The sequence below is a fragment of the Homo sapiens genome, chromosome 5, assembly GCF_000001405.40.
Source record: "Homo sapiens chromosome 5, GRCh38.p14 Primary Assembly".
In the NCBI taxonomy this organism is placed as follows: domain Eukaryota; kingdom Metazoa; phylum Chordata; class Mammalia; order Primates; family Hominidae; genus Homo; species Homo sapiens.
In genome coordinates this window covers 158962620-158988136 of record NC_000005.10, presented here as the reverse complement: position 1 = coordinate 158988136, position 25517 = coordinate 158962620, and the positions used below count along the sequence as shown (strand labels likewise).

At 39.6% G+C, this 25517-nt stretch overlaps 1 protein-coding gene across 27 annotated transcripts in view, besides 1 other annotated feature; it reads left to right on the top strand.

Moving 5' to 3' along the window:
• EBF1 (EBF transcription factor 1) overlaps positions 1 to 25517 on the top strand; it is a 403997-nt gene that overhangs the window by 111780 nt on the left and 266700 nt on the right. The gene's annotated exons all lie outside the window — the stretch shown is intronic.
• Positions 11594 to 12111: an enhancer, noted in NCBI's record as "NANOG hESC enhancer chr5:158403034-158403551 (GRCh37/hg19 assembly coordinates)". NCBI's record gives its function as "activates a minimal SCP1, AML or CMV promoter by ChIP-STARR-seq in primed H9 embryonic stem cells {active_cell/tissue: H9 hESC(primed)}" and the evidence as "EXISTENCE:reporter gene assay evidence [ECO:0000049][PMID:30033119]".

The window sequence follows — 25517 nt, the reverse complement described above, 5'->3', positions numbered from 1 at the left end:
TATTCATTCATTCACTCATCCATTCCACCTATTTTAAGCACCTACTATGTTCCAGATAATGTGCTAGATGCTGAAAATACAGTATTTAATATTCCAGTTGTCTGTGTTATAAACGGTGCTTCAGAAACAGAGGAGCTGGGGAGAGTGGCCTGTTTTCTCCACAGTGCTGCTCCAGTGAGCCCCGGGGGGATGCCATTCCCAATGCTAGTAAATGGAGGATACGCATAGAAGGGGATCTAGGCCTTTGACTTTCCTCCTTCAGAAAGTTTCCATATTTTACTATCTAGCCTTGGTTGCAATTGCTTCTAGTAATTTTTTCCTATAAGTATTTATCTACATAATTTGCAGTATATTACTTCCAGTTCATTTATGTTACTTCAGAAGAGTTCTTATATCTTTTTCCTGGGCAGTTAGTTGTGTTGTGATCCCTGTGAAATGTCTAGGCACCCACGGACACATGTAATGCTTCTACTTTTAGTGGTCTTCCCTATCCCCCACTTCCTCCTTGGAGTGTCTAATAACTACAAGAAAACACAGGGTTATGGAGCCTATGTCTGTGTGAATTTGGACATCCTCTGAACCTTTTCCTGCCTTCATTCTCTCATCTGTCATACAAGGTAATCCCTGCCCTGCCTACCTCCTTGTATTGTTGGGAGGATCAAATGAAATAATGGGTATTAAAAGGCTTTGAAAAATTAAAAGTGTTCTTAAACCCCAAGGGCTTAAGATTCTATGGCTGAAGGCTAGAGGGCTTAACATGAGGAATGATGACTCTATAGTAAAGATAATAGAAAAATAACAATAGTGGTGCAACTTATCTGGGGTTTATTATACTCCAGACACTATGCTTGGAATGCCCACCCAGTAGTGGCTGTAGGAGATACTGATGCTATCTCCATATTACAGATGAAGAAACTGAGGCTCAGAAAAGTAAAATAGTTTGCCCAGGGGCTTATGGTTTGGTATATGCATAAGCCTGGATTTTAATGAATACATGTCTACTTTATCTCTCCAACTAGATGAATGAATGCTGTCCCTGTCTAACTCCCTCATATTTCTCAGATCTGTTAGTGCTAGGGTTGGAAGCTCCACAGCAGATGTAGGGTTAAAAATGTGGAAGCTGAAATTAGACAACCTCAACTTCACATTTGTCTCTGACACCTCCTAGCTGTGTGATTGAAGTTGAGTTATTCAGTCTCTCTGAGCCTCAGATTCCTTATGTGAAATGGTGGCAATAGTAGTTCCTTATTCATAGGTGTCTTTAGCGGAAGTGCACATGCAAAGTTATAGAAATAGTAATAATAATTACTAATATTTGGTTGAATGAGTGATTAAATTTCTAAACTGGGGTCCAGGCAAAGATTATATAAATCTGGCCAGCCCAATGAAATGATAGAGATTAAATTCTTAGGAATTTTCTCTCCCCTTCCCCCAACCTCACAACTGAGAAAAGTCCACAAATGGGTAGCTTCCTAACTTAATTTGGTCCTCAGATGCATTTGGCTTGGTCGGCAGAATATTTTTTAAGAATTTGAATTTGATGCCAACATCATGAAATCAGGCTTCACATTCAAATCCATATATCTGGCTGCTTTTATAAAATTGGAGAATGTATAATTATGGGCTCACATGCCTGCCCAGCAATCCCCAGCTGTTGCTGAGTATAGCTGCTCTCTTTACCTGGGGATGCAGCACTTCTGTGTGTTCCTGTAGGCATTTGAGTTTGAGGCCCCTGCCTGAGAAACACCAGAGTCAGCCTAGGAAACCTAGGGGAGGAGATAGAAGTGACTCTTTTTAATCTTAAAAAAAGTCTAGTCCTGAAATTGTACCTGTTCCCCATTTCATCCAGGACTTGTCATCAGCATTTACTTCCACCTATTATACTAAGAAGTAGAGAGCAGCACCCGTTGTTGCAGACCAAGGAAGGGGGAGATAAAAGGGAAAACCAGAGAGAGAAGGACAGAAATCATGCTGTTTCTTAATTAAGCTGGGAAGGAGACAGGGGCTGGGAGCGGAATGGCTTGTGGCTCAGCATTTATCACACAACTCCCCGCTCCACCCGGGGCCTGTGCCGGACAGGAGAGCCAAGTTGCTCAGAATGGCTTTGCTGATGTGCCATTGCTGGGGTAAGTGGTTATTGATGAAGGGGCTTAAGTGGTATGTGCCCTAGAGCTCACTCCCAGCCTCTGCAGTTTACCCCATCTCCAGGAGCTTTGTTGCACAGTGCTGACCTCCATGGGTCCTCTTGGCACCCAAGTCAAGGAATCATACCTTCTTCCTCCTGCCCTTCTCACACACACTGAGCTAGGAGTTAGGAAGCTGGACTGCCTGTCCAGGCTTTCTGACTTTAGACTCTGATGCCTCTGCTTTAATGGCTTTATTACTGATCTGAGAAGTAGGCAAATAGCACATTAATGGCTTTTGTGGATAATAGTGATTTGGGAGATGTCACATCAGCAAAATTCAAAAAGGATATGTGGATCCAGAACTTTGAAAGAAAAGGAGGGGAAGGTTAAAAACAAACAAAAAAGTAGATGCAGGGAGAAAAGAGATCTTTGCATTTTAAAAGTATTTTGAATGCAATATTAAGCCTCAGAAGATTTTAGAGATCATTTCTCCCAATGGTTCTCTGCCCTGGACTTATATTAGAATTTCCTGGCCATCTTTAAAGCAAATACTGATGTCTAGCCTTTGCCTCCAGAGATTCTGAAATAATTGGTATGGGGTAGAGACCAACACTGGCATTTTCTAAAAGTTCCTCAGGTGATTGTAGTGTGCAGTCAGGTTGAAAACACTGATCTAACTTTTTCACCTTATGGTCAAGATAGGTGATGTTCAGTGGCTTTCACATGGTCCCAAAGCTGGTTAGGCAGAACTACCACTGGAAATCCAGGTTGCCAGTTTTCAGCCCAGGTGTTTATTTTACACCAGATTTCCTTGCAAATGGTATTCTCGTATCATTTTCATGACTATTGCCATATCTTTATATCATCTGTACTGTTTTAAAAAACAAATGTATTTACATCAATTTACTCTTTAAACTTGAATTTATTTGAAAAGAAACTATAGTGCCGCAGTAAGTAGCAGTTCAGCCTCACCTGCCGTAGATGGGAGGTAACCACAAGAAAAATTCAATGAAAAGAAAGCAGCATTGGGCTGAGTTTGGTGGCTCATGCCTGTAGTCCCAGCACTTTGGGAGGCCGAGGTGGGTGGATCACGAGGTCAGGAGATTGAGACCATTTTGGCTAACATGGTGAAAACCCATCTCTACTAAAAATACAAAAAATTAGCCGGGCGTGGTGGCACGTGCCTGTAGTCCCAGCTACTCAAGAGGCTGAGGCAGGAGAATCGCTTCCCAGGAGGCAGAGGCTGCAGTGAGCTAAGATCAAACCACTGCACTGCAGCCTGGGTGACAGAGTGAGACTCCATCTCAAAAAAAAAAAAAAAAAAAAAAAGGAAGAAAGCAGCGTCGTTAGATTGTAGCTGGACGCTGTTGCCTGCCAATGACTCTGCTAAACATGGAGATTGGTAAGTGGTAGGTGTTCCAGATACTAGCACCAAACTGAGACTCCCTCATTGATGTAATCAGAACAATTAAGAGAAAATTGAAAACGGCACTCTTACTATGTGATTCCATATTATTTAATGCTCATATCCTTGTACCATTAGAATTGTCCTGAGCACATTACTGGTACAGTTTTATTTCCCTTAACAAGTGATGGTAGTGCTTATATAATAAGCAAAGTAGTCTAAAAAAAGGTCAGTATCTACAAAATGGAAAAATGAAGTATAAACTCAGGTCGTTGAACAAGAGACTTGAGAAACTTAGAGAATAGAGTTAGAAACATGAACTAATCATGAACAGCACCATAGAAATCAATTTTCAAATCAGGTGAGAATCTTAACATTTATGGTTTTGGCCACCATTGATATATCGTTGTTAGCAGACTTGTAGGTAGTGCTCTCAGCTAAAGCAATAAGTTGAATTTAGAGGAGCTGGAAACTTTAAGAAGTGTTTCTTGAGATTCTGTTTTACTCTTTCTTTTGAGATTCCAGGTATGATTTGGAAGATTCATGGCAAATAAGCTTCTAACTAAAGGACTCAAATATTATAACAGTAACCAGCATTTTAATTCTATTTTTTGTTATTGAATTTCCACTGGAAGAGACATAGTTCTATGTTCTTTATTTGGTTACACACACACACACACACACACACACACACACACACACACACACTCTTACAGTTGCAGGATGAGAATCTGCCCAGATAAAGTACTAACATACTCTCAGGTACTTATAAAAATTACTATCCTAGGCCTGGAATCTATTCTAGATTTTGGTTGAGCACATTATTTCAGATTTGGTCATACCTTTTCCCTCTCTCCGTATCTCACTCCCACCCATGTGGTAGCATTCATTTTCCAAATTGAAACACTTGCTTCATATTCCCTTTGATTTTTCCAAAGACATTAGAGCCAATAGGGAGTCTTAGTCACCCGGTCAATGCTATTTGATACATTTCCCTAAATGACATGTTCTTCTTCATGTCGTTGCATCCACGCAATAATTAAATGTACCTTCAAACACTATTGAAGGTAGGTAGTCTTTGAGCTTATTGCTTAATTAGTTCAGGTTTGTCCTATAGTTTCCCATCACTGTGCAATCAATACTACTCTAGACAACATTCCACCAATATTGGGAAAAGATGCCTCCTGCCTCCACGAGTGGATGCAGCAGAGTTCAAATTGTGTTGTAAATTAGTCGTATGGGAAATATCAAGTCAGTCATACTTTCAGAGAACTTAATAAGTGAATATACCTCTTCAAAACACACTTTATATACAGAAAAAAAACCCCTACATACTTCCTTGGGACTTATTGTTCCTTTCTTCTTTCATGTCTTCAGGTTAGTAGAAATTTCAACCGAATAAAAGATACAGCTTTTTCAAGGTTCCTGACAAAGAGAACCCTTATACTATTTTACCACCTTCTGGGCCATCACAGTAATTTGATTGAAATGAAAAGCTGGTATTTTTCTGACAAGAGACCTACTAGAGAGCTGAAAGAGTAAGGGCTGAGGGAGTCAGGAGCCCCCAAGATGGATATCCAGGGCCTCTTAGGTAAAGTGTGGCAGGTGGAGCCTGGTGCCAGGGGCGGCAGATCCTGGGACAGCTTTGCCCTATGAGGTAACAAAGCAGTTCCTCATAGGGGAGCAGACCAGAAGGATTCATAGTTTCTAACCATTTGTTATTTTGGATTTCCTCCCAAGATAATTCTGGTTAAATCAAGAGTTTCATACATAGGATGCTGAATGGGAATTTGACCCTTTTTAGACCACTATATATATATATATATCTTTTGCTTTAAATACCAACAGGATTATATTCTCGGAATCAAGGGATCATGGACACTTTATTAAATTATATTTAGCTAGGGAGTTTTCCAAAAAAAAGCAAGCTGGACTTGTGATGGAAAAATTTAAGTACCGTGTAAAGCAAAAAGAATTAGACTGTGAATGCCTTGTCAACAGGGATTTTTATTTTGTTATTAATTCATCTATTCAACAAATATTTATCAAGTATCTTCAAGGTGCCAAGCACTGTGCTAGGATCTGGATGTATAACACTAAGTAAGGCAGACTAAAAAGTTATGGCCCTCAGGTAATTTAATCTTGTTAATCTTTATATCCTCGTTGCCTGACACAGTGGCTGACATGCAATAGTCCCTCAATAAATGACTGTTAACTTGAGTGTGAAGTATGCCCAAGTGCATCCTTTTCATCTGTGTTTTTAAGCCTTGGTAAATCTGCACCTTTGATTGAGCCTTACTGTGCAAATAATACTATTAGTAACAACTGTAGCAGCTAATGTTTATTTAATAAATGTCAAATGATTTACATTCATTAGCTCATTGTCTCAGGGCATTTATCTATTTGACCTAGGATTTCTAAAGATATTTTTAGGCATGTTTAAAACCTATCTACCTTTTTTACAGAGTTTCAATTAGCGTGTAGTTTGGTCTAGGCCATTGTAACTTATTTTGAATCCTTTTCCCCAAACCATAATTTGACAATGAAATCCCATTTTAAGCACATAGTGGGAACACAAACAAGTTCTGATTGAGTGAACTGGATGCAATTTTAAAATGATATTATCAGGAGGCTTATCTAGCTAGATCATGAGTCAAGTCTCAGATCTGTATGTTAATGATTTGAAGTCATTAGTCAATGCTGTTTTGCTATATGTGTCCGCTGGACTTTTAATTTTTTTTTTATTTTTAGTAAGATTCTATCAGCACTGTTTTGATGAAATATTTAAAATAAAACAATAGTAATTGTTCTACATCAGTCAGTGCAGTTCTGCAAAGTAACTGTAGCTTCTTGCGCCATTTTGTTAGGAGCTTGTGGATTATATCATGTGCACAACCAACAACATAAAACCTTTAAAAATACAGAACTCAGGGTACTTGAATGTTTATAAAGTATTTTAAAATTAATTTTTAATGAGTTTTAATATTTTAATATTATACTGGATTTTAAGTAAGAAAGTTGTTCTTGTATTAGGCAGTGGTGTACAATATTACTTCATGGGATAATGTTTAATTAAAATACACTAATTTATGTGTTTGTTTATTAGCTCTATCCCTAAAGCAGAGAGAACCTCTTCACAATTTTATGAAAAATGTAAATGAGGGTTTTGGCACCACTAATACAGTTAAATTAGAATAGGTAAAAATGTATGCTTCTACTTTCATAACTTTATAAAAAAGCACCTTAAAATGTTGATTTGACATACAATAAAGATCACTTTCCAGTGAAAAGATTAAACTCCCATGAAAACAACCTTCTATTTTTCTAATTTCCTTTTGACTTTATTAGGTTTTACCTGATTTGTTCTTGTCTCAAAACATTTTCCCTTGTTTCTGTAATTGTTGGAGTCATTTTGATGCAAGGATATTATAGTCAGTTTTTTTTTTTTAACATTTGGAAATGGTTAGCTACCCTTGCTGAATATGGCCCATTTTGAGTATTGGTGTAACAAATGAGAAACACCTTATTGAATAGTATATATTCTTTGCTGGTTCCTCTTATCCCCAACTAAGATTTTATGTTCCTCAAGATTTGGGCTTGGTTTTTGTAAACTTTTGCAGTGGTTTTAAATATTCATCATGTTTTAGAAATTAGCAATTATATTATAGCCTTAACCTTATTATGAAACTTACTAGTTTCTTTTTCCTTTTTAAAATAATTGTTTAAATCCCTTGATATAGACAAGGGGAAAAAAATGAGAAGGCATGTCATACTCCAGTTTTTCAGAGTTTTATTTAAGTGTTCTAGATACCAGCACACAAACACCTGCTGTTTTTACTGTTCTGGGTGTCATAGAGACACCTTCAGTAGCAACATGTTTCTAGCAGAAAATAAAACAGATTCAAACTACATTCAAAGGGGGAATGCCATGAGATATTTTCTCTCCATTCTTCCTTTGTTAGTTATTTATATTCACACATCTTCACTTAACTACATTCCTTAGTAAACAGCTTGCGGGGGGTTGATATTTGTTAATGAACTGTCAATAAACACATGTTCTCTCGACTTCTTAAAAAAAGACTATATTGGGGTTGAGTGTGCTGGTTTCCAATTCCTGTTCACGCCATGGAGACAGAGAGAGGAGTCTTGGCTGCGGATCTGGCCTCAGAGCTGGGCACGGCTTGCGATCACGTGGTGGAAGCACAGCTTTTGTGCAGGGAGGAAAGTGGCAGATTTTGATAGAGAGCGTGCCAGCAGTTATTAGGAAGAAATCGGGAAGTGTTTGGAAACAGGGCTGCTAGCATTCCCAACAAAGCTGGAGAAGTCTCTCCAAAGAACAAAAGGCAAGCACACGTTCAGGGTGAGGACTTTCTTCTCTGTTGACATATGAGACGTGAAGTGAGTCAGACGCTGACCCAGGTTTGGAGAGAGGACAAATAATAATATCTTTGTTGAAGGAAATGGGGTCTAGTCATTTTCTTTTCTTCCTCCTGTTATTATTCTTTCTTTGCCTTCTCTTTTTCTCTCTATGGCTGAACATCTCTACTCAATTGCCTAATGAAGTCCTTCTGACTATAAAATACCAACGGAGAAGAACCTCGGTCATTTGCAAACAAAAAACAAAAAACAAAACACTCCCAGTGACTTGTGGGTAGAGGAAAGCAATGATGCTGCAAGCAGAGAGTGAACGCAGGGAAGGGGCCAGAGAATGACCTTTGCATTTTGGGCACCAACCTAAAGTACAAATGAATAAGAGAAACTTAGAACAGCCTTAAATAAAACTATTTATAATTTGATTAGCGTTATTACTGCCTTCTCTTCACTTTGAATCAAATTATCTCAAGAGCAACAATTCTGGAAATTTTTGCTTTAGAAAAAGAAAAAAAAAGTTGAATTTCCCAGTATCCTTGTCTGCTTTTTTTTTTTCCTTAAAAATTTCATGCATTGTTAGGGAAGAAAAGTCTAGTCTAACTCACAAATGCATCCTTATTCTCATGTATATTTGATACCGGCCCCAGTCTAATCTGATAAAGTGCACTTTGCCTGTGGTGTCTTACAATAAGCTGGCTGCATTAGTGCCGGGAAAAATCAATACCGATTTATAATTTACCATCGCAAAAACCTATCACTTTTTATGACCCTCCATCCTGGCTCATTAATATTACATTAAAACACACACACCCACTGCAACAGGGGGAAATTGTAGCTTGTCAGGTTTACAGCCATAAAGAAACCTTTAATTGGGCTTAGTTTGGGAATTCAGGCACAGATTTTGTTTATTTGTTTTATTTTTAATGTATGATATTTACCTTAAGTGAATTTTAAGATAATGTGTAATATACCTATCTATTTCTCTGAAAAGAAAGGAGAAAAGCATGTCGCAGAAATTCTGACATCCACTTTCATATAGATCTTATACATTTTAATAGTCTCTAATAGCATTCTTCTCTGTTTTCCTATAGTCTCCAAACCTTTTTCACTTTCTTCTTTTTTCTCTTTGTGTGAGTGTGGATTTCTTTATGCTGAAACATTCCAGCTGATGGTATTTCTCTTATCTTTTTGGCTTGTCATAGTTGATATTTATCCTTCCCACCTCAGATCAGGAAGAAGCTAAATGCCACCTTTTGCATTGTCTGTCTCTCAAAGAAAGGATGCATATTTGATTTTTCTTCTACACCGAATGGAGAATATTACACTGACCCTGCTTGGAAACTGAGTGATTCTCCTAGTGCTTGTTCTTTCCCAAAAGAGAACTGTGGACTCTCTCTCTGTGTGTGTGTGTGTGTGTGTGTGTGTGTGTGTGTGTGTATGTGTGTGTGTGTGTGTATCTTCAATTCTTTTACCTTCAAGAAACCCCCAAAGAAAAATCAAACAATAGTCTTTCCTTAATCAAGCCTATTAAGCAGCTTTGCCCTCATATGTTTTTAGACTTAAAAGTCTTATATCTAAATTCTTTCCAGATAATGTAAAAAAAAAAAAATGATGTCACTGTTTATGTTGGCAGCGGCAAGGTGCTCTATTTATTTCATACTATTCAAATAGTTTCCAGGGAATTTTTCCTGTAAAAATCATGAACAGAACTTACCACATGGCTTGCCCCTTTCCCTTGCTGCCTTAAAGGTTAAGGCTTCTGCCCCTTCCAACCTTAAAAAGAGGCAAAATGAAGTGTAAAGCAGATCCAAAAAAATAAATAAATAAGGGAAGGGGGAAATTCAGTGTGTTCTCAAGTGTGCAGTAGTTCCACACCATGCAGCAAATACATGTCGTGATTGGGTTTTTAAAAGACATCCGCCTGGCCCCTGACTGACAGGGCCTATTGATTTTTTAGGTTTCTGCCGTCATCGGTTTCCAGCCTCACAGCGGCCGCATGTCGGGGGTCAGGGCGCACCGGGGCGCAGTGAGCCAGCCCTCGCCACTTCCCAAAGTGAAGGGCCGCTGAAAGAAAATCAATCATGTCATAAGTGAGAAGCATCAAAAATTTTCCCCCTGTATGGCCAAGGCCCATCAGCCTGTCTCCACTCAGTAGCTAAGGTTAGGCATCTGTCAAGTCAAGACTAGGTGAAAAGTATTAGAAATGCCAGTTTACCCACGGGTAGACCGTGTGGGTGTGAGGCAGCCTCTTCCCTTTGTCTGGCCATCCCGGGATGACAGGGTTGGCGTTTTCACTTAATTTTTGAGTCAGAATCACCCATTTTCCCTTCCTTTAGCCTTTGTGTGTGTGTATGTCTCTTTCTCTCTCCTCCCTCCTCCTAAGGCAGGGCGGGTTGAGGCCTGGTACCCTGTTTATTTAAGAACCAGTGAAAAGTCAAAGTGGATGCATTCCCAGGCAGCCCACTGGGAGGTCAGCGCCATGGCATTCTTACTAAGTCACAGAGTATATTTCCCTAAATGAAGCAGATTTTTAACCACCCCTTTCATATCTTGCTGTGGAAACGCACATGACACAGATAAGTTTAATTGTGAAATTAATAGTGCATATCCCATGGTAGAAATTTTATTTGGCTACTGTGCTGATGTTTCTGAACTGATAGGATGCTAAATTTTCTTCCTGTGCTACTAATTGGGAGAACGTATATTTTTAATTCTCAGAGAAATGATCAGGAATATTCTGTTCATTTTTAAACACCTTTTTATATTTCTTACATTCCAAATCCATGTCATGAGATTGCATAGTTTGTTGAAAGAAACCGTATTAAGTGTCTAACTTAAAGAAACCCTTTACGTGTACTTTCTAATTGTGAGTTTAGTATTTAGTTTCCAAGCTATAAATCATAGATTATGTATTCTGTGAGAGAATGATAGGTTTTTATTAATGTATTTTAGATTACATTATTTTTAAATCAATAAGGTTCAAATGAATAGTTTTGCTTGCTTGTCTGTTTTGAGGGATAAGAAGGGTGGATTGGGGAACTGGCTGTCAGGCGGGCCTCACTTTGTGGTTTGCATCTACTCAGCTCTGCCTCCTTTCAGGTGTGTTGGTTCACTCTGGTTCCATGATAGTCGCTGTCCATTTAAGACCAGTTTGAAATTTCCCAACAAGAGCTTCTTACTGGAAAATCTGCAGGAGGAGTTCATTTGGGTGTAGGGGCAGATTCTGAGATTTCCTTCTGTGCATGGGATGACTACCCCAGGAGCAGTAGAAGAACCTGAAAATGAATTGAACTGAGAGCTCTGCTGTAACTTTCCACCCTAAATTGACATTCACTGCCTGAACCAAGATGTATACTCACTAATAAATATTTTAGCTCTCTATGCCTCAGTGATTACACTGGCCATTCCATACAGATAAAAATACAAAATGTTTCTTTAATCAGTACTGTGATGTGAGACCGTTAAGGTAATAGTGCTTGAAACTATTAGAATCTCAAAGATATTGACTGGCTTGCTTTTGGCATGGCAATTATAATTACATTTTTAGGTTACATTTTATGGGTTTATACTAGTTATTCTAACATAAAAGAAATTGCTGTCCAGAATTTTAACAGAGGGCAGAATGATCTAGGTTGAAATCCTTAGCAGTCCCAGCATCAGGGCTGCTAATATATGATCTAATTGTGATCAATACTTTCTTTTCTAGTTTCTGTAATGACAAGGCCTTTGCAATAAAAACACTACCATCTTTTTGAAATCCACAGAATGATAAATGACCTAGGCCAACTTGGGGGTGGGGGTGGGGAAGTGTAGTGTATTTTACATTCCTAGTGATTTATTGTGGGTTTGCACACATAACTGGTGTGAAATCAAGCTGGAGGGGGGTTGAGGGGAGGAGGAAAAGTACCCAACAAAGAAATCCATTCTGCCTAAAATGCCTAGGTTTAAGTCCCATTACCATTGATGTGAGCTAAGTACTCTCATCAAGAGGCTTGGGAGCCCTTGAGTTATTTAGATTCTTTTTGTAACATTACAGGAGAGGGGAAAAAAGCCAACACAATGAATCACTACTTTGCTATGTATGAATGGCTAGGTCAGCCTAACTCATGTGTTACATAAAAAGGACCAATTTCATTCTGTCTTGACAATAAATGAAAGCTTGGCTTTGAAGGTACTCTTTGCTGGATCTATTTGCTTTTGGAGACAGTCTATTGGACAGGCTCTGGGAGGCAGGTTATTTCAGGTGCAAGAAAGGAAATCACCTCGTTTCATTAACTATTAGGGACTTAACTTCCTTTGGTGTAAAGCTGAGTCCAATCATCCCAGATCTCCAATGAGAGGATGGGGGCGTGCTTGCTGTCCTAATCAAACCCAGCTGGTCATTCGGTCCCAACAGGTAAAGTTTTTGAGGAAGCCAAGTAGAGATTTGTGAATTCTACAATATAAAAATGTGAAAAATGTGTCAATGTGAGCCCCTTCCAGCTCTGACCCCCCAGTTGTTTATGTCCAACAGTGTTTCTCATGTGGCTGTGGATAAGTTTCTCCCTCTTTCCATTTTAAACTTCCATTTGTAGGTTGCTTGTGACATTTTGCTTCAGGCCAGCACTTAGCATATAATATTACAGATGCCTGAAATCTTTCAGCCTTTCTTTTTCTTTTCTTTTCTTCCTTTCACTCTCACTCTTTTTTTCCTGCCTCTCTCTGTCTTTCATTTCACTCCCAACTCCTTTTTTCCTTACAACACCAAAAACTCTTTCGTTTAAAAAAGTTGGAAAATATATGAAGACACCACACAGCATTCACAACTTTAGCACTGATCTGATCTATTTTTCTGCTATTCAACAGACCTGGATTTTTTCCCTGTGAACCAGAAAGTCTTTTGTTTTCTTGTCTCAGTAAACACAGCATACGGTATGTACTAAGTATTAGGACTCAGGGGTCTTATTCAAATATTTTTTGGGGGGAGTGGGGTCAGGACTATGGAAAGAGATACAGGAGGTGTAGGAGACTGGGTTTTAATGTGAGATCATTAATCATTTCTTTTTTCCTGAATCAGGCTTGGGACAAAAGGGATAAAGAGGGTTTTCCCCTCAAATATTCAATTTATCCTATCAGATTTCCCACAGTGACTTTCTCTACCAAGGTTCTTAATGCACTACTCTTAGAATGTCTCATCAGTGACCAGAGCTGATGGGGTCTTTGAACATTAGACAGTACCCATTAGTCAAGGTCCCTGGGCTAACATCTCTGGATGGCATTTTCTTCTAAGTGTGCCATTAGTTAGTATAATGGACTGGTGTCTGTCAGCCTTTGGGGCAGGACAGAGAGGTGCATCGAAGACCCTTTGTTAGAAGATGGGCTGTGTTTTTTCTTCAACCTGCAAGCATGTCCCCAGCAACGTTTTTAGCTTTTGAAAGACAATAAATGTTAATAGCTTCAGTGAAGTCTTTATAATCTCCCAGGTCAGAAATTGTTGCTGTTTTTTCTCCTTAAAGTCTCAAATATGGATTTACAAAATACTCTTTGGAACCATTATAGTCTTTTGGGTAAATAGTTTTCATTTTAAAACATTTTTATAATACACACATTTTAAAAAATGTTCTAAATATGTATTTTTACGATTGATCATGACAGCGCCTTAAAGAGCCATTATTGCCTATCAGGGAGATAATGTGTGTGTGTATTCAAGAAATTGTCTACAAAAAGAAAACTCCATCTCGAAGCCGTGTATGTTTCCAATGAGGATTTTTTTCTCACCAATAAACTTGAAGAAATTATGCAAAACAATTGAAATTTAGACAGATCATCCAAGTGAGACAGTTCAGAGTTGAGGATTTTTGCAATGCCTCTCAAGTGGCAACTGAGAAATTTCAGGATTGAAAGCTCAGAAACACTGGCTACCTTCCTTGAGGCTGTGAACATAGGTTACCAAAGGTTTAGGTAATTTTCCAGACTTTCTGCCTCAAGCCTGAAGTTTTTAAAAAGAGAAGGCTCTGATTATATTGGGTTCTCTGAACCACAGGTTGCCATCCAATCATGGAGGGCTAGAAATCAGTCTGAATAGGGCAACTACTTGTTGGTTTATTCAAACGTACTGACTGTATCATTGTGCTAGGAATTAGAGATATTAAGAGGATGAGCTGCATCTATGCCCTTGGGGAGCATGCAGACCTACAAACACGTTCACTGTGGCAAATCTACAATGGAGGCATGAATGAATCGAAACACCAGCAAAATGATTTAGGAATAAGAACGGAACTGCTGTTCATAAGATCTAGGTGTCTGTGCATTTCCTCAGGGTACAAGGTGGTGGCAAAAGACTGAGGGAGCTGGCCCAGGTGGGGAGAGGTGGTGAGAACCAGAAGATGGCATGCAGGTGATAACAACAATGACAATGACCACAGCTGCTACTACCACTACTACTACTAGGAATTATTGAGGATTTTATGGGACATTTAGCTAAGAATAGAATATGAATTAATTTTTACCACGGAAGATAAATGTTTGCCTCATTCAACCAAGAAATATTTATTGCATGCCTTCTGTGTGCTAGTTACTTGGGGGTATAATGATAATAGGGTCCTGCTCCCATGGAACTTATAGTTACTGAGATTGGGGGTTCTGGAGCTCAGACATTAAATTTAAAATTCACACACCTGAATGTGAAATCTGTAATGTGATAAGTTTACAAAAGGGAGGACGCCAAATATCTGGGTGATTTGCTGGTCCTATCTAATGAAGGCAGCAGGTGTGTGTGTGTGTGTGTGTGTTGGTTTGAGCTGGTTAGGAAGGTGAGGGAAACCTCTGAGAAAGTGGTGAAAGAAGAATGGAAGTCATGTAGGTGAAGGGGTGGGATTGGGGTAGGAGAGTGTGAAGAATGTTCTAGAGAGGGAAATAGGGGATGAAGAGAGAAAAGGCTAGAAAGAGGAGAAATAAAAAGGTGCATCAAGAGGGTGGAAATATCCTTCCCTCTCCTCCCCTTCCCTTCTTTCAACAAGTATTTACTGAGTACCTTTCAAGATCCAGGCACTGATCTTAGCAATGGGGATTAGCACAAATAAAAGAGTGAAAAAATCCCTGCCCTCATGGAGCTTACGTTCTAGGGCAGGGAGACAGACAATCAACACACAAACCAGTAAAATATCCAGTACGTCAAATGGTGATGAATTCTGCAAGGAAAATAGTTTGGGAAATAGGGTGAAGAAATATTTGGGGAGGGGCTGAAGTTGTCATTTTAAATACAGTAACTAGAAAAAGCCTCACTGATAGGTTGGCTTTTGAGCCAAGACCTGAAGGAGCAGAGGGACAGAGCCTTGCGGATAGCTAGGGGAAGCAAACACAGGGCAGGAAAGGCAGTGTGAGGCCCTGCAGGGAGTGTGCCTGACAGGTTTGAGGAAGGCTATGGAGGCCAGTGGGGAGGAGCAGAACGTGCATGCAAGAAAGTAGCAGGTGGCGCTGCCCAAGGCATCCTGGGGCCATTTCTTGGGCCCCGTGGGCGCTATGGAGGTCCTGGGCTTTTACTCTGAGTGAGATCGGAAGCCATCGAAAGTGGAGGACAAATAGATGAGAAGAAGGTTTCCAAGCAATGAAGAAGATATCCACCTAGTCATTAGCGTTAAGCCAAGAAGCCTTAAACTAAAGGGAAGCGTTTCCAACAACAGGCTTTGGGTATTCCAGGTCATCTGACATTTCCTGAGTGAAACCTTAAGACCACTACAACTAGTGATTTGATGTTTTTAGAATGGCTTCTGGGTCAGTTCCACTAACAGGATGGCTAAGCCGATCATGATTCATAAAGATGCATTTTGGGAACAGATCCATTGTACTTATTAAACATCTATCCGCTTTGACAACCGTATTGCAAACTCAGTTTCCACGAAACCATCTATGTTTATGTGACAACTGTGTACCTAAATATACGAGACAGTACGTGGGTAATATGGGCAGGTGACTGAAATAAAGTCAGCTGAGGGCTGAGTGACAGGGCATCCAGCTGGGTAGATGGAAGAGCAGGGAGGGAAAAAGAGCAGCTGGGGACACAGATTGAGGTGGGCAGGAAAGACAATGGCCTGTCAGGATGAGCACCTTCCCACAAAGGTCATCAGCCCTTCATGGACAATCAGCACGGACACCTTGGCTTTTGTGTAAGCTGAAGTTTCATTCTCTAGAGAACCCAGTGTGTTCTCCAAAAGGAAGGTTAAAATTCATTGTGGCAATTTGCAAAATGATGAAGAGGAAGAAATAGTTTATTATTCACATTCAAATGCTTTGTTACCCATACATGAGTGTCCTTCTTCTGGTTCCCTTTCTAGCATTAGGGCTATAGTCTTTGGTATGAATCTTTAATATTAATCTCTGAACACTAAGAAGCAATTTCAATGTTATGGACTTTAGGTCCTCGGCACTTTTCCAGGGTGGAGGTGAGGGAGAGCACTCCCTAGGCTTAGCTCTTGAAGACAGTGCTGGATGGGCGTGTTGGTTCTGTGGGCTTTTTAGAGGCCACAGTAAAAATCTTCTTATATTTAGACCTCTTCATGCTTTGGGACTGCTTGTGATGTTTTTCCTGTGGTCTTTTGGTCATCTCCTTGACAATTTCCTCCTATGGCATTTATTCTAGAAAACAGAGGTTCTCAGTATCTTGGGGCAAACACTCTGATTTTTAGTGAAAAGTCATGGAACCTCTTCAGCCTTGACCTGGGCGGGAGGTGTCCTGCAACCGAAGCAAAAGCAACCACGACTCCAAGAAGGCAGTCCCCTGACAGCCTGTACTGCTGGGTCCAGGGCCTTGATGCCGGGAAGTTATTTCGTTTATGTTTGCCTGTTTAAAGTCCCCATTTGCTTTTCTTCAAGGTCCAGCTTCCAAGTCTAGTTGACTTTTTACCATCACTCACTGGGCTGGCCACACAGTGCCGGAATTCATGGGCCTCCCTGGACAGGCTATTTTCCGAGACCCATGGAAATCAGATCAATGCTCGCTCGCTCTGTGACTTTCATCATCCACGTGCTTTCTAAATATGAACTCATTCTTCTTGCAAGAATCAGGTTAAGCATTGTTATCCCCACTTTACAGATGGGCGTGCCCAGATTTCATTATTCCGAAGATAGATTTTGAGTCCATGATAAATGTACTTAGCATTATAGTAAATTGAAGATGAAAAGGCCTAATAGGTTACCCGGTATTGCCCCTCCCTCTTCACCTCCATGCTACCAGAAGCTCCTGCAATCTACTTTCTAGTGCTTTGACCAGTCTTGGTTTAAATGTCCCAGGGGAACCTCCCTGTAAGGCTAAACTTGGAGAAAGAATCTCCTTCTAAAAGCTACTTTTGTGGTCTCAGTGCTATGACTCCTCCTCCCTACAGCTGAAAGGCACTTGGAAGTGAGAGGAATATGGTTGGAAGTCTTTTTTCCTTTCTCTTTTAGGAGAATTACAAATTCCAAGAGTCACATGTGTATCTTTTCCTTTTATAGTAGATTTTTATATGCCTTTCTAGGTTTACTAACAGACATACAGGATTTTGAGTTACAGTTGGGACATGAGCTCATGAAATTAGTCTTAACTGCTTTAACCCGTAGGTGCTTGTGTTTATGGAATAAGAAAGTCATAATCGCTGACCGCAGCCATTAAAATCTGATGTGAGTCAACTTTGAGTACAAAGGCTTTCTATAAGCCAACCCTCTTGAAGCAGAAATGATCACAATGTAATATAATGAGAATAATTAATAAGGAGTGTGCCAGTGACCTTGAATATTAATATTGTTTCCTTTTCCTGTAAACAAACTGGGTTATTTTATTATTATTTTAGTGTGTAATTTGGCATAAACACTCCTTTTCACATGATTTCCCCAGGTGACTTTTGTCTCCTTGGCAATTTCCGGCTTTAATAAAGAAAACCTAATTAAGAAGGAGCTGTTGATTGGTTTGCTAGTGTAATTAACACAGGTGATGCTAATGAGTTTCTATGAAACCGGTGGTTTATGGGAAAAATAAACAGACCGTTGTTGCATATGGCCCAACTGATATCTGCACTCTGGAAGAAATGATGATTTCCAAGTCTCCTGTGAGTGGTTTGTGGGCATGGAATAGGCAGATAAAATATTTTATAAGATTCATTAGTGGAACTTGACCAAATTGAGAGCAAAAAAAGTCTCAGTGTTAGGTGATATTAAAAAATCTGATCCCTGGCTGTAGTACGGGTTAGGTTTGTCATTTTTCATGTGCCTAAAAAGGGGCAGATTTCTTTTGTTTGGGGTGTGTTTCCAATTTTCATTGTAGGCATTTGAAGTTTGCAAAACTTCCAGCAGCCTTTTTTTTTTTTTTCTTTCTTTCTTTCTTTCTTTCTTTCTTTCTTTCTTTCTTTCTTTCTTTCTTTCTTTCTTTCTTTCTTTCTTTCTCTTTCTTTCTTTTCTGTCTTTCTTTCCTTTCTTTCTCTCTCTCTCTTTCTTCTTTTTCTCTTTCTTTCTTTCCAGAGTCTCACTCTATCACCCAAGCTCGAATGCAGTGGCACGATTACAGCTCACTGCAGGCTTAACCTCCAGGGCTCAAGTGATCCTCCCACCTCAGCCACTGGAGTAGCTGGGACTACAGGTGCCTGCCACCATGTTCAACTAATTTTTGCTTTTTTTTTTTTTTTTTTGTAGAGATGGGGTTTCACCATGTTGCCTAGGCTGATCTCAAACTCCTGGGCTCAAGTGATCCTCCTGCCTCGGCCTCCCAGAGTGCTGGGATTATAGGCATGAGCCACAGCCCCCGGCCCCTAGCAGTCTTTCTAGGGACATTTTAATTTTTATTCTTTTCTCCTTGACTTTGCCCATTGACCCTTGAGGATGCTGTGACCAGGAAGGCACATGGGATTGCTGCAGAAATTAAGATTCCTGAAAGTCTCTTTTCTTAGCCTACAAATGCTTCCTGAGGAGCACTTCTTTTGGGTTGGGGGGACCGAGTCTTGCTCTGTTGCCCAAGGCTGGAGCACAGTGGTGCAATTTTGGCTTACTGAAACCTCTGCCCCCCAGGTTCAAGTGAGTCTCATGCCTCAACCTCCTGTGTAGCTGAGATTACAGGTGCACACCACCATGCTGGGCTAATTTTTGTATGTTTAGTAGAGATGGGGTTTTACCATGTTGTCCAGGCTGGTCTCGAACTCCTGACCTCAAGTGATCTGCCTGCCTCAACCTCCCAAAGTTCTGGGATTACAGGCGTGAGCAACCGTGCTCAGCCAATCCTGAGAAACTCTTGATATTTGTATTTTCAGTGGTATCCAGGCTAGGTTGGTACATCCAGAATTACTTACAAGAAGCAAATTTCCTTTCTTTTTTTCTTACTTTTTCTGGGCTGGGAGGGGTGCTAGGGACTTCAGATGTCATTTCACAACTTTATACAAGGAACAAGATTTTTGTGGCATCAATGCATATTTTCTCATTGTAAATTTTACTTGGAATACATAGCTATTAGTGTTGATAATTTACAAATACCCTGTTCAATTTCAAAAATGATTTTTGAAGTTGTTTTCATAAAAGACAAGTTGATCATAAGTCCTTTGATGTTTACACAGCATTTTGAGGCCCCTTCTCTTTTTCAGTGGTATGTTCTTCCCAAATCAATTTTTTAAGTATGTGTTTTGTCTTCATTTTTATCTGATATTTCATCAGCAGCAAGTTAATTCTTTCTCTTTTTTCCTGTCTCCAAAAATGCCTGTTCCACTTTGTCTCTCATCTATTGCTATGTGACAGAAAAACAAGAGACATTCTGTGTCTAGCAGTGCACCTCCAGGGACATCTTTTGAACTCTCATAATTTGTATTTATTGCCACCCACTTTGTAAGTTCACAGTTTAATTTGCCGGCAGTGGCAGTGTTAGGCCGACACAGTAAAACAAGATAACGTTAAAATGTCAGAATGAGAGGGGGCATGAATGATGCATTACCCCTACCAGGACTTGCACTTGTCATTCCTTTCCACCAAAGTGATGTTAACTACCTTTTGAGAGCTTTATCTGACTGGTATTACTCAGAAATAGGATCATTAGTTCACTGTTCTGATTAGGAAGCCGCTATGCTTGATTAACTCTTCTTGGACTGGGATCTCAGTGGAAGCATTAAATGAATCGCACTGACTTAGACATCTAGAACTAATTTATAATTTTTTTTTGCAATTATTTGTAGTTGTTGACATGTGTTTTTCCATGATGTGGTACTTAACGGGAATGAGTTAAACCTACTGGAGACAAGCATGTTTGAGTTGCATATTTTAACCCACATTTCAAGACAGGTCTTCTAGATTTACAAAATGTTTCCTGTGGACAGATACTAAGCCATTGTTCTCAATAGCATCTATGTGTAATTCATTCACAACTTTTTGAAATTTCTGAGTTTGGGAAATTTCAGCCCTTTTGTAGTTTTGGCTGAATCATTGCCCTAGGGGGAAACTAGTTGAATTCATGTTTACTCACAGTGGTGACTTCATGGGTGTTCAGAAGCAGGGCTAACATGTGCCTTAAAGAAACTTCCAAAGTGATAAATCTAGAATATTGAAACAGGAAATCCCTCCCCACTTCCCCATTCCCCAAAACCACCTCACGCAGTTCTTTCCCTCTCTAAAATTTTCTTCGTAATCCTGCTGCTGTCTGAAATCCTACCATATTGATTCTTTGGCTTCTGAGCAACTACATAACTCTCTGCCCTCTTCCAAACATATACTCGATACGTATATGGATGAGTTTTAGATTATCTCAAGAGCCAGTTTTGATAGGGAAAGCATTGAAAGGCTGGAAGGTGGGTATGGGAGTAGCACTAAAGAGAAACTTTATCCTACAACAAGCATCTTGATGGTAATAAAGACGTCTTTTGTGTTCCATAGAAAAGGGCTCCATTTTACGGTAAAGATACATATTGATTCTGGTCCATAATTCCAGAATGAAACTTGTATTTTAGTTTAGCCTTTCCAAAATAAGAATATTTTTCACCTTATAATTCAAAACAGAAACAGAGCTGTATGAAATCATCTGAGGGGGATTTGTATCTCTCCTGCACTACTGCATGTACAGTGCCCAGCACTCCTGGGAGCTCCCTGTGCATTTGTTAAATGGAAGGGATGAAGTTATCACTATGGAGCAGCCTTCCCCACCCCCCTTATAAGTACATTCCCCCAAATCTCTTATTTCCTGAAAAGGTTTTTTTATCTGTGTAGATCCAGAAACTTGGGTTGTTATTACAGATGCCTCTGATGAACCTGGGGTTACCCTGAGCATATTAACAGCACCATCCCATTATGTTCCTTTATCATATACTTGACATCTGCCCTAAATTACTATCCTTCACTATCTGCTTAAGTAAGCCTATGTTCTCTTTGGAGATTTCTTGGCAGCTAACCCTTGGCTGTAGATACAGATGAATTGGCCTTCAGCTATTTGTATTAAAAATATAATCAGGACTTGCTTGTCTAAAAAGGTGATTTGGACCTGGTTTTCAGTACCAAGCCAGGTGGCTGTCTTTCGGGGGGACAAGTTTAACTGAGATGGGGGAAGCTGGATAGCAGTGTAAGAATTCAAAAAGGAACTTGCTTTCAGGGTAGTTACGATAAAGCCCTAGGAGGTACAGGAAAAAGAATATGTGTTTGGTTTGAGTTTCTTGGGTCTATTAATTGCCTTCTAAGAGTGTACTTTTTGTCGGGGTGAATCATTTATCGCCAATTCCAGTTTATTGATATTTCTCTCTGTGAGCCTATTTTTCAGTGGTTTTGCCATCTATTGCCCAGAGAATTGATGCTGTCTGAGATTTGACTGTAATGCTGCTTTTGTAGAGAGGGGAAATGAAGGCATAGAAAAATAAATAGCTTTTTATAACCCTATGTGAAAAAGTGATCATCAAATTGGAAGGACTTTTTCTTTTTCTCCTTCCATACCTGTGTGGCAGAACCTTTTGGTCAATATGGGTCAGGCTTAATCAAAATTAACTTTATTTTAAAACCGCTGTTACTTGGAAGTTCCCTTTCTATACTCTTTCTTAGAAGGGAAAGTTGGGTGTGAAGTTCTAAAAGAAAAGCTCTTTGGACAAGAAAATATAAAACATTTTCCCAAGAGTCACAAATACCAGTGTGTGTTTTAGGGAAGCAACCAATGTTACTTCTTCTAGAAATAATTGGTGTAACTGAATTAAGATTACTTTCCCAAATCAGATCCTCTGCCTTACTCAAGGTTTCCTGTGTTCTACCTTGTCCCAGATAGAGAACAAAATGAAACCCTCACCAATTTTGTCTACCTTTTTTGCTCTAAGCCAAGGTTTTGCAGCACCATTAGGATGTAGATTATCATATTTAAAACCTGTGATGACACCGTTGTACCCATCTGAATGATTAATCTGCTCATTAAAAGAGTGCCGATGGGCTAGTCTAATTGGAACATGGATCTTCTTAAAGGACGTTACAGGGTCGGGAATAGGAAATATTACTCATAACATAAAGTAGGGATTAATTATGCTACTAAATACTACTATGTGAAATTTACATATGGGTCTGGTTAGAGACAAGGATTAGAAAAAGTGTAGCATCCCATTTTATAACATTTATGTCAACTTTAAGACAGGTGGTGTGTTCCTTCTTTAATCCCAAATCTTAAATCAACATTTACAAAAGCTGTTATAAACTCAAATGCCACAGAAGGCTTAGAGGTTGGGATAAATGCAGAATTTGCATAAGTGAATCACCGTGATTTAACTGTATGGATTTTCAAAAACAATTGCAAAGATCCAAAGCTGCAGAGCAGTCTCTACTCTCTGTTAAAGCTTAAACTTCTGCATGATATTAATCTTCCTAGGAATGAAAGTACAATTGGGATCTTTCAGAAAATAGGCAAATCCACTGAGCACAAGTTTGCAAGCATTTTTTTTCCCAAATAACCTTTCTTTAAACAAACAATATGTATAAAAGATGTAAGGGGACTGCTCAAAGCAAAGGGGATGGGAGATTTGAATCTCCACCTAAGAGCTTTTATGCCACATGGATCCTGTGGCCACACAGTTAGAAAACCACCGTATAATATGGAGGTGGATCCTAGAATCTGGGTTGAAAAGAACCTTGAAGCTCTTTTATTCTATCTCCCTTATTCCCAGGCAAGGGAGCACAAAACTTACATAACGAGTTAGTGACAACCAGAGCTAAAAAGTAAAGTTTTTGACTCATAGTTCAGGGCCATTTTCAACAAACAACACGATATCTCTAGTCTGGTTACCAAATATCTCAACACGTTGGATTATTTGTTTGACGCATCACATGTTAAGCTATCTCTGTTTACTGAAGTCAGATCTGTTTGACAAATGTGAAATATATTCTTACACATCTTGATGATTTGTTGCATTTCCACTACTTGAAAATTCATATTATTTTTTTACTTGTAGGCAGATGTCAGATCATGTGTCAAGTAAAAAATGGAAAGTTGCTCCTCTGGAGTAAACACTGTACCAAGAGAAATGAAAATTAGAGCACTTGGTTATACGTGGGCCTCTACCTGTTTAAGGAACTCAAAGGATTACATATTGGTGTTTTGGGTCCTTCCAAGCTCAGCTCAGAGAATTTCCCTGGGCTTTGGTGATCATATAATATTTCTGGGATTGGGGAAGCCTTAGGTAGAGAATACTGTGCTTACAGAGACCCTAACAGACTGTCATTATCAATTCGAGCTTCTCCATACCTGTGGGTCCTTCTAACCAGCTCCCATGTTTGTTCTCTCCTTTCCATTTTATTCTGCTTGTCTGACTGAGTTGAATTCACCATTATCTCTCATCCAGATTACTAGAGTAACTTCTTAGCTATCTCCTGGCCTCCAGTCTTAACCCTACTCGGTTTGCTGTCTACACGGCAGCTAGAATGATCTTTCTGATGCTTCTGACATCACTCTTCTGCTTTAAAGTGGCTCCCACTTGGACAGCCTGGCTCCTCATTGTCCCAGAGATGAAAGTGCAAGCTTTTAAGAGTTATGTACAGTGTCCTTCCTGGCTTCATTTCTTGCTACTCCCCTCCTTACATTGGACCACTTTGCACTGATGCACACTCACCGTGAACTCTGAGCTTGCTTTTGTCTTTGCACCTGTTTTCCCCTATAACTGGTATACTCTTCTTAGCTTTCTCCTTGCCTCAGCTTTCATCTTGCTGTGTCTGACTTATCCTTAGGATTAAATTCAGCATTAACTTCTCAAAGGGGCCTTCTTGGACCCATCAACTTAGGGTACAAGTGTGCACTCTTTCTCCGTCATAGCATTTTTCACACTGCCTGGTAACAGTTTACCATGTAACTCCCCCCATCCCCAGCAGCGAGCTCCTTGAGGGCAGGGTGCAGGATATTATTGTCTTCCTATTTTTGTTTCCAAGTACTATGTCTGATTCCAAGAATGAAATCAATAAATGTGGGAGGAAGGAAACAAAGCAATAAACCTCAACAAGAATTTACACTAGAAATTGTGCAGAGAAAATGTTCCAACACTCTTTCGTTAGATATTCCATTATATACTGCCATTCATTAATAGCTGGATGGGTGCCTTTTTATGTCATGTTTAAATGTTTCGATTTAATATCTTTGTTTTTTTCCTACCCAAGTTACAAAGGGGATCAGGTGACCACCAGCTTCCCTAGTAGCACCTTTAAAAGCACAGGATCCCTGGGGTCGTTCTATTTGTGATTCTACATTGCATGCTTTGTGATATGTTTTGTGTGTAGGCAGAGGCCTATAACTGGTAGAAGAGGTAGGAAAGTTGTTTTTTCAGTTGGAGGGAGAAGCCTTTGTCATGGACTTCGGAGTATTCTCTAAGCTTGAATTGTGGCATGTCGTAGGGGTCAGTTCTGAAGATGTTCTTACTGTCATCCAATGTAGGAGATGAAACCTTCAAAGAACCTGTACTGTCATTCCGTAAAAGTTAATAGCAAAGTATCATTGCAAATCTGTTGGAAAATGTTTGTTTTTTTTGTGGTAAACCTCTGAACATTTTTAAGACTCTAGTGTGTAGAGAACCTTTCTTTAGAAATTCAGATCTGGTGGGATACCATAATTGGCTAGTGGTGGAACAGACATTTGAGGATAGTATTCTTTAGTGAATATCATTCATTCCTGGACCTCCACAGTCTGTAAGTGAAAATATAAGCTATAAGCCACCGAAGAAGTTAAGGAGATACGTGATTGTAGTAAAACCTTGACTGGCCAGAATGCCAGGGAAATGGAGTGATCTGTTATGCTTTTTCAGCTTTGCTGGTGGAAAAGGATTTCATCATCTTTTTTGGTAAATAGTGGTCTGTCTATAGGGCAGTGTTATAGGAGGTACAGGAGGTTGGGCTAGATGTGAACTCACTCTGGGGTGTCACTGAGTTGTTTTCCTAAATTTTAGAATTGTGGGCCTTTTGAGTCAGTATGAAACTTACCCACGATCTGATAAAACCCCATCCTTAAAGAAGTGGAAAGGGAGGCTGCAGAGATGGCTCGAAGTCCTATACCTTTTTAGTCCCGCAGGCGAGATTTATACCTTGCTCTCAGACTTCTAATATACTGTTCTTCACCCTGAACTGTAAGTACCTATATGGGCTTTGTAGGCTTTAAAAAGTATTTACTTTCATTCTCTTATAAGCCCAGTACAGAAAGC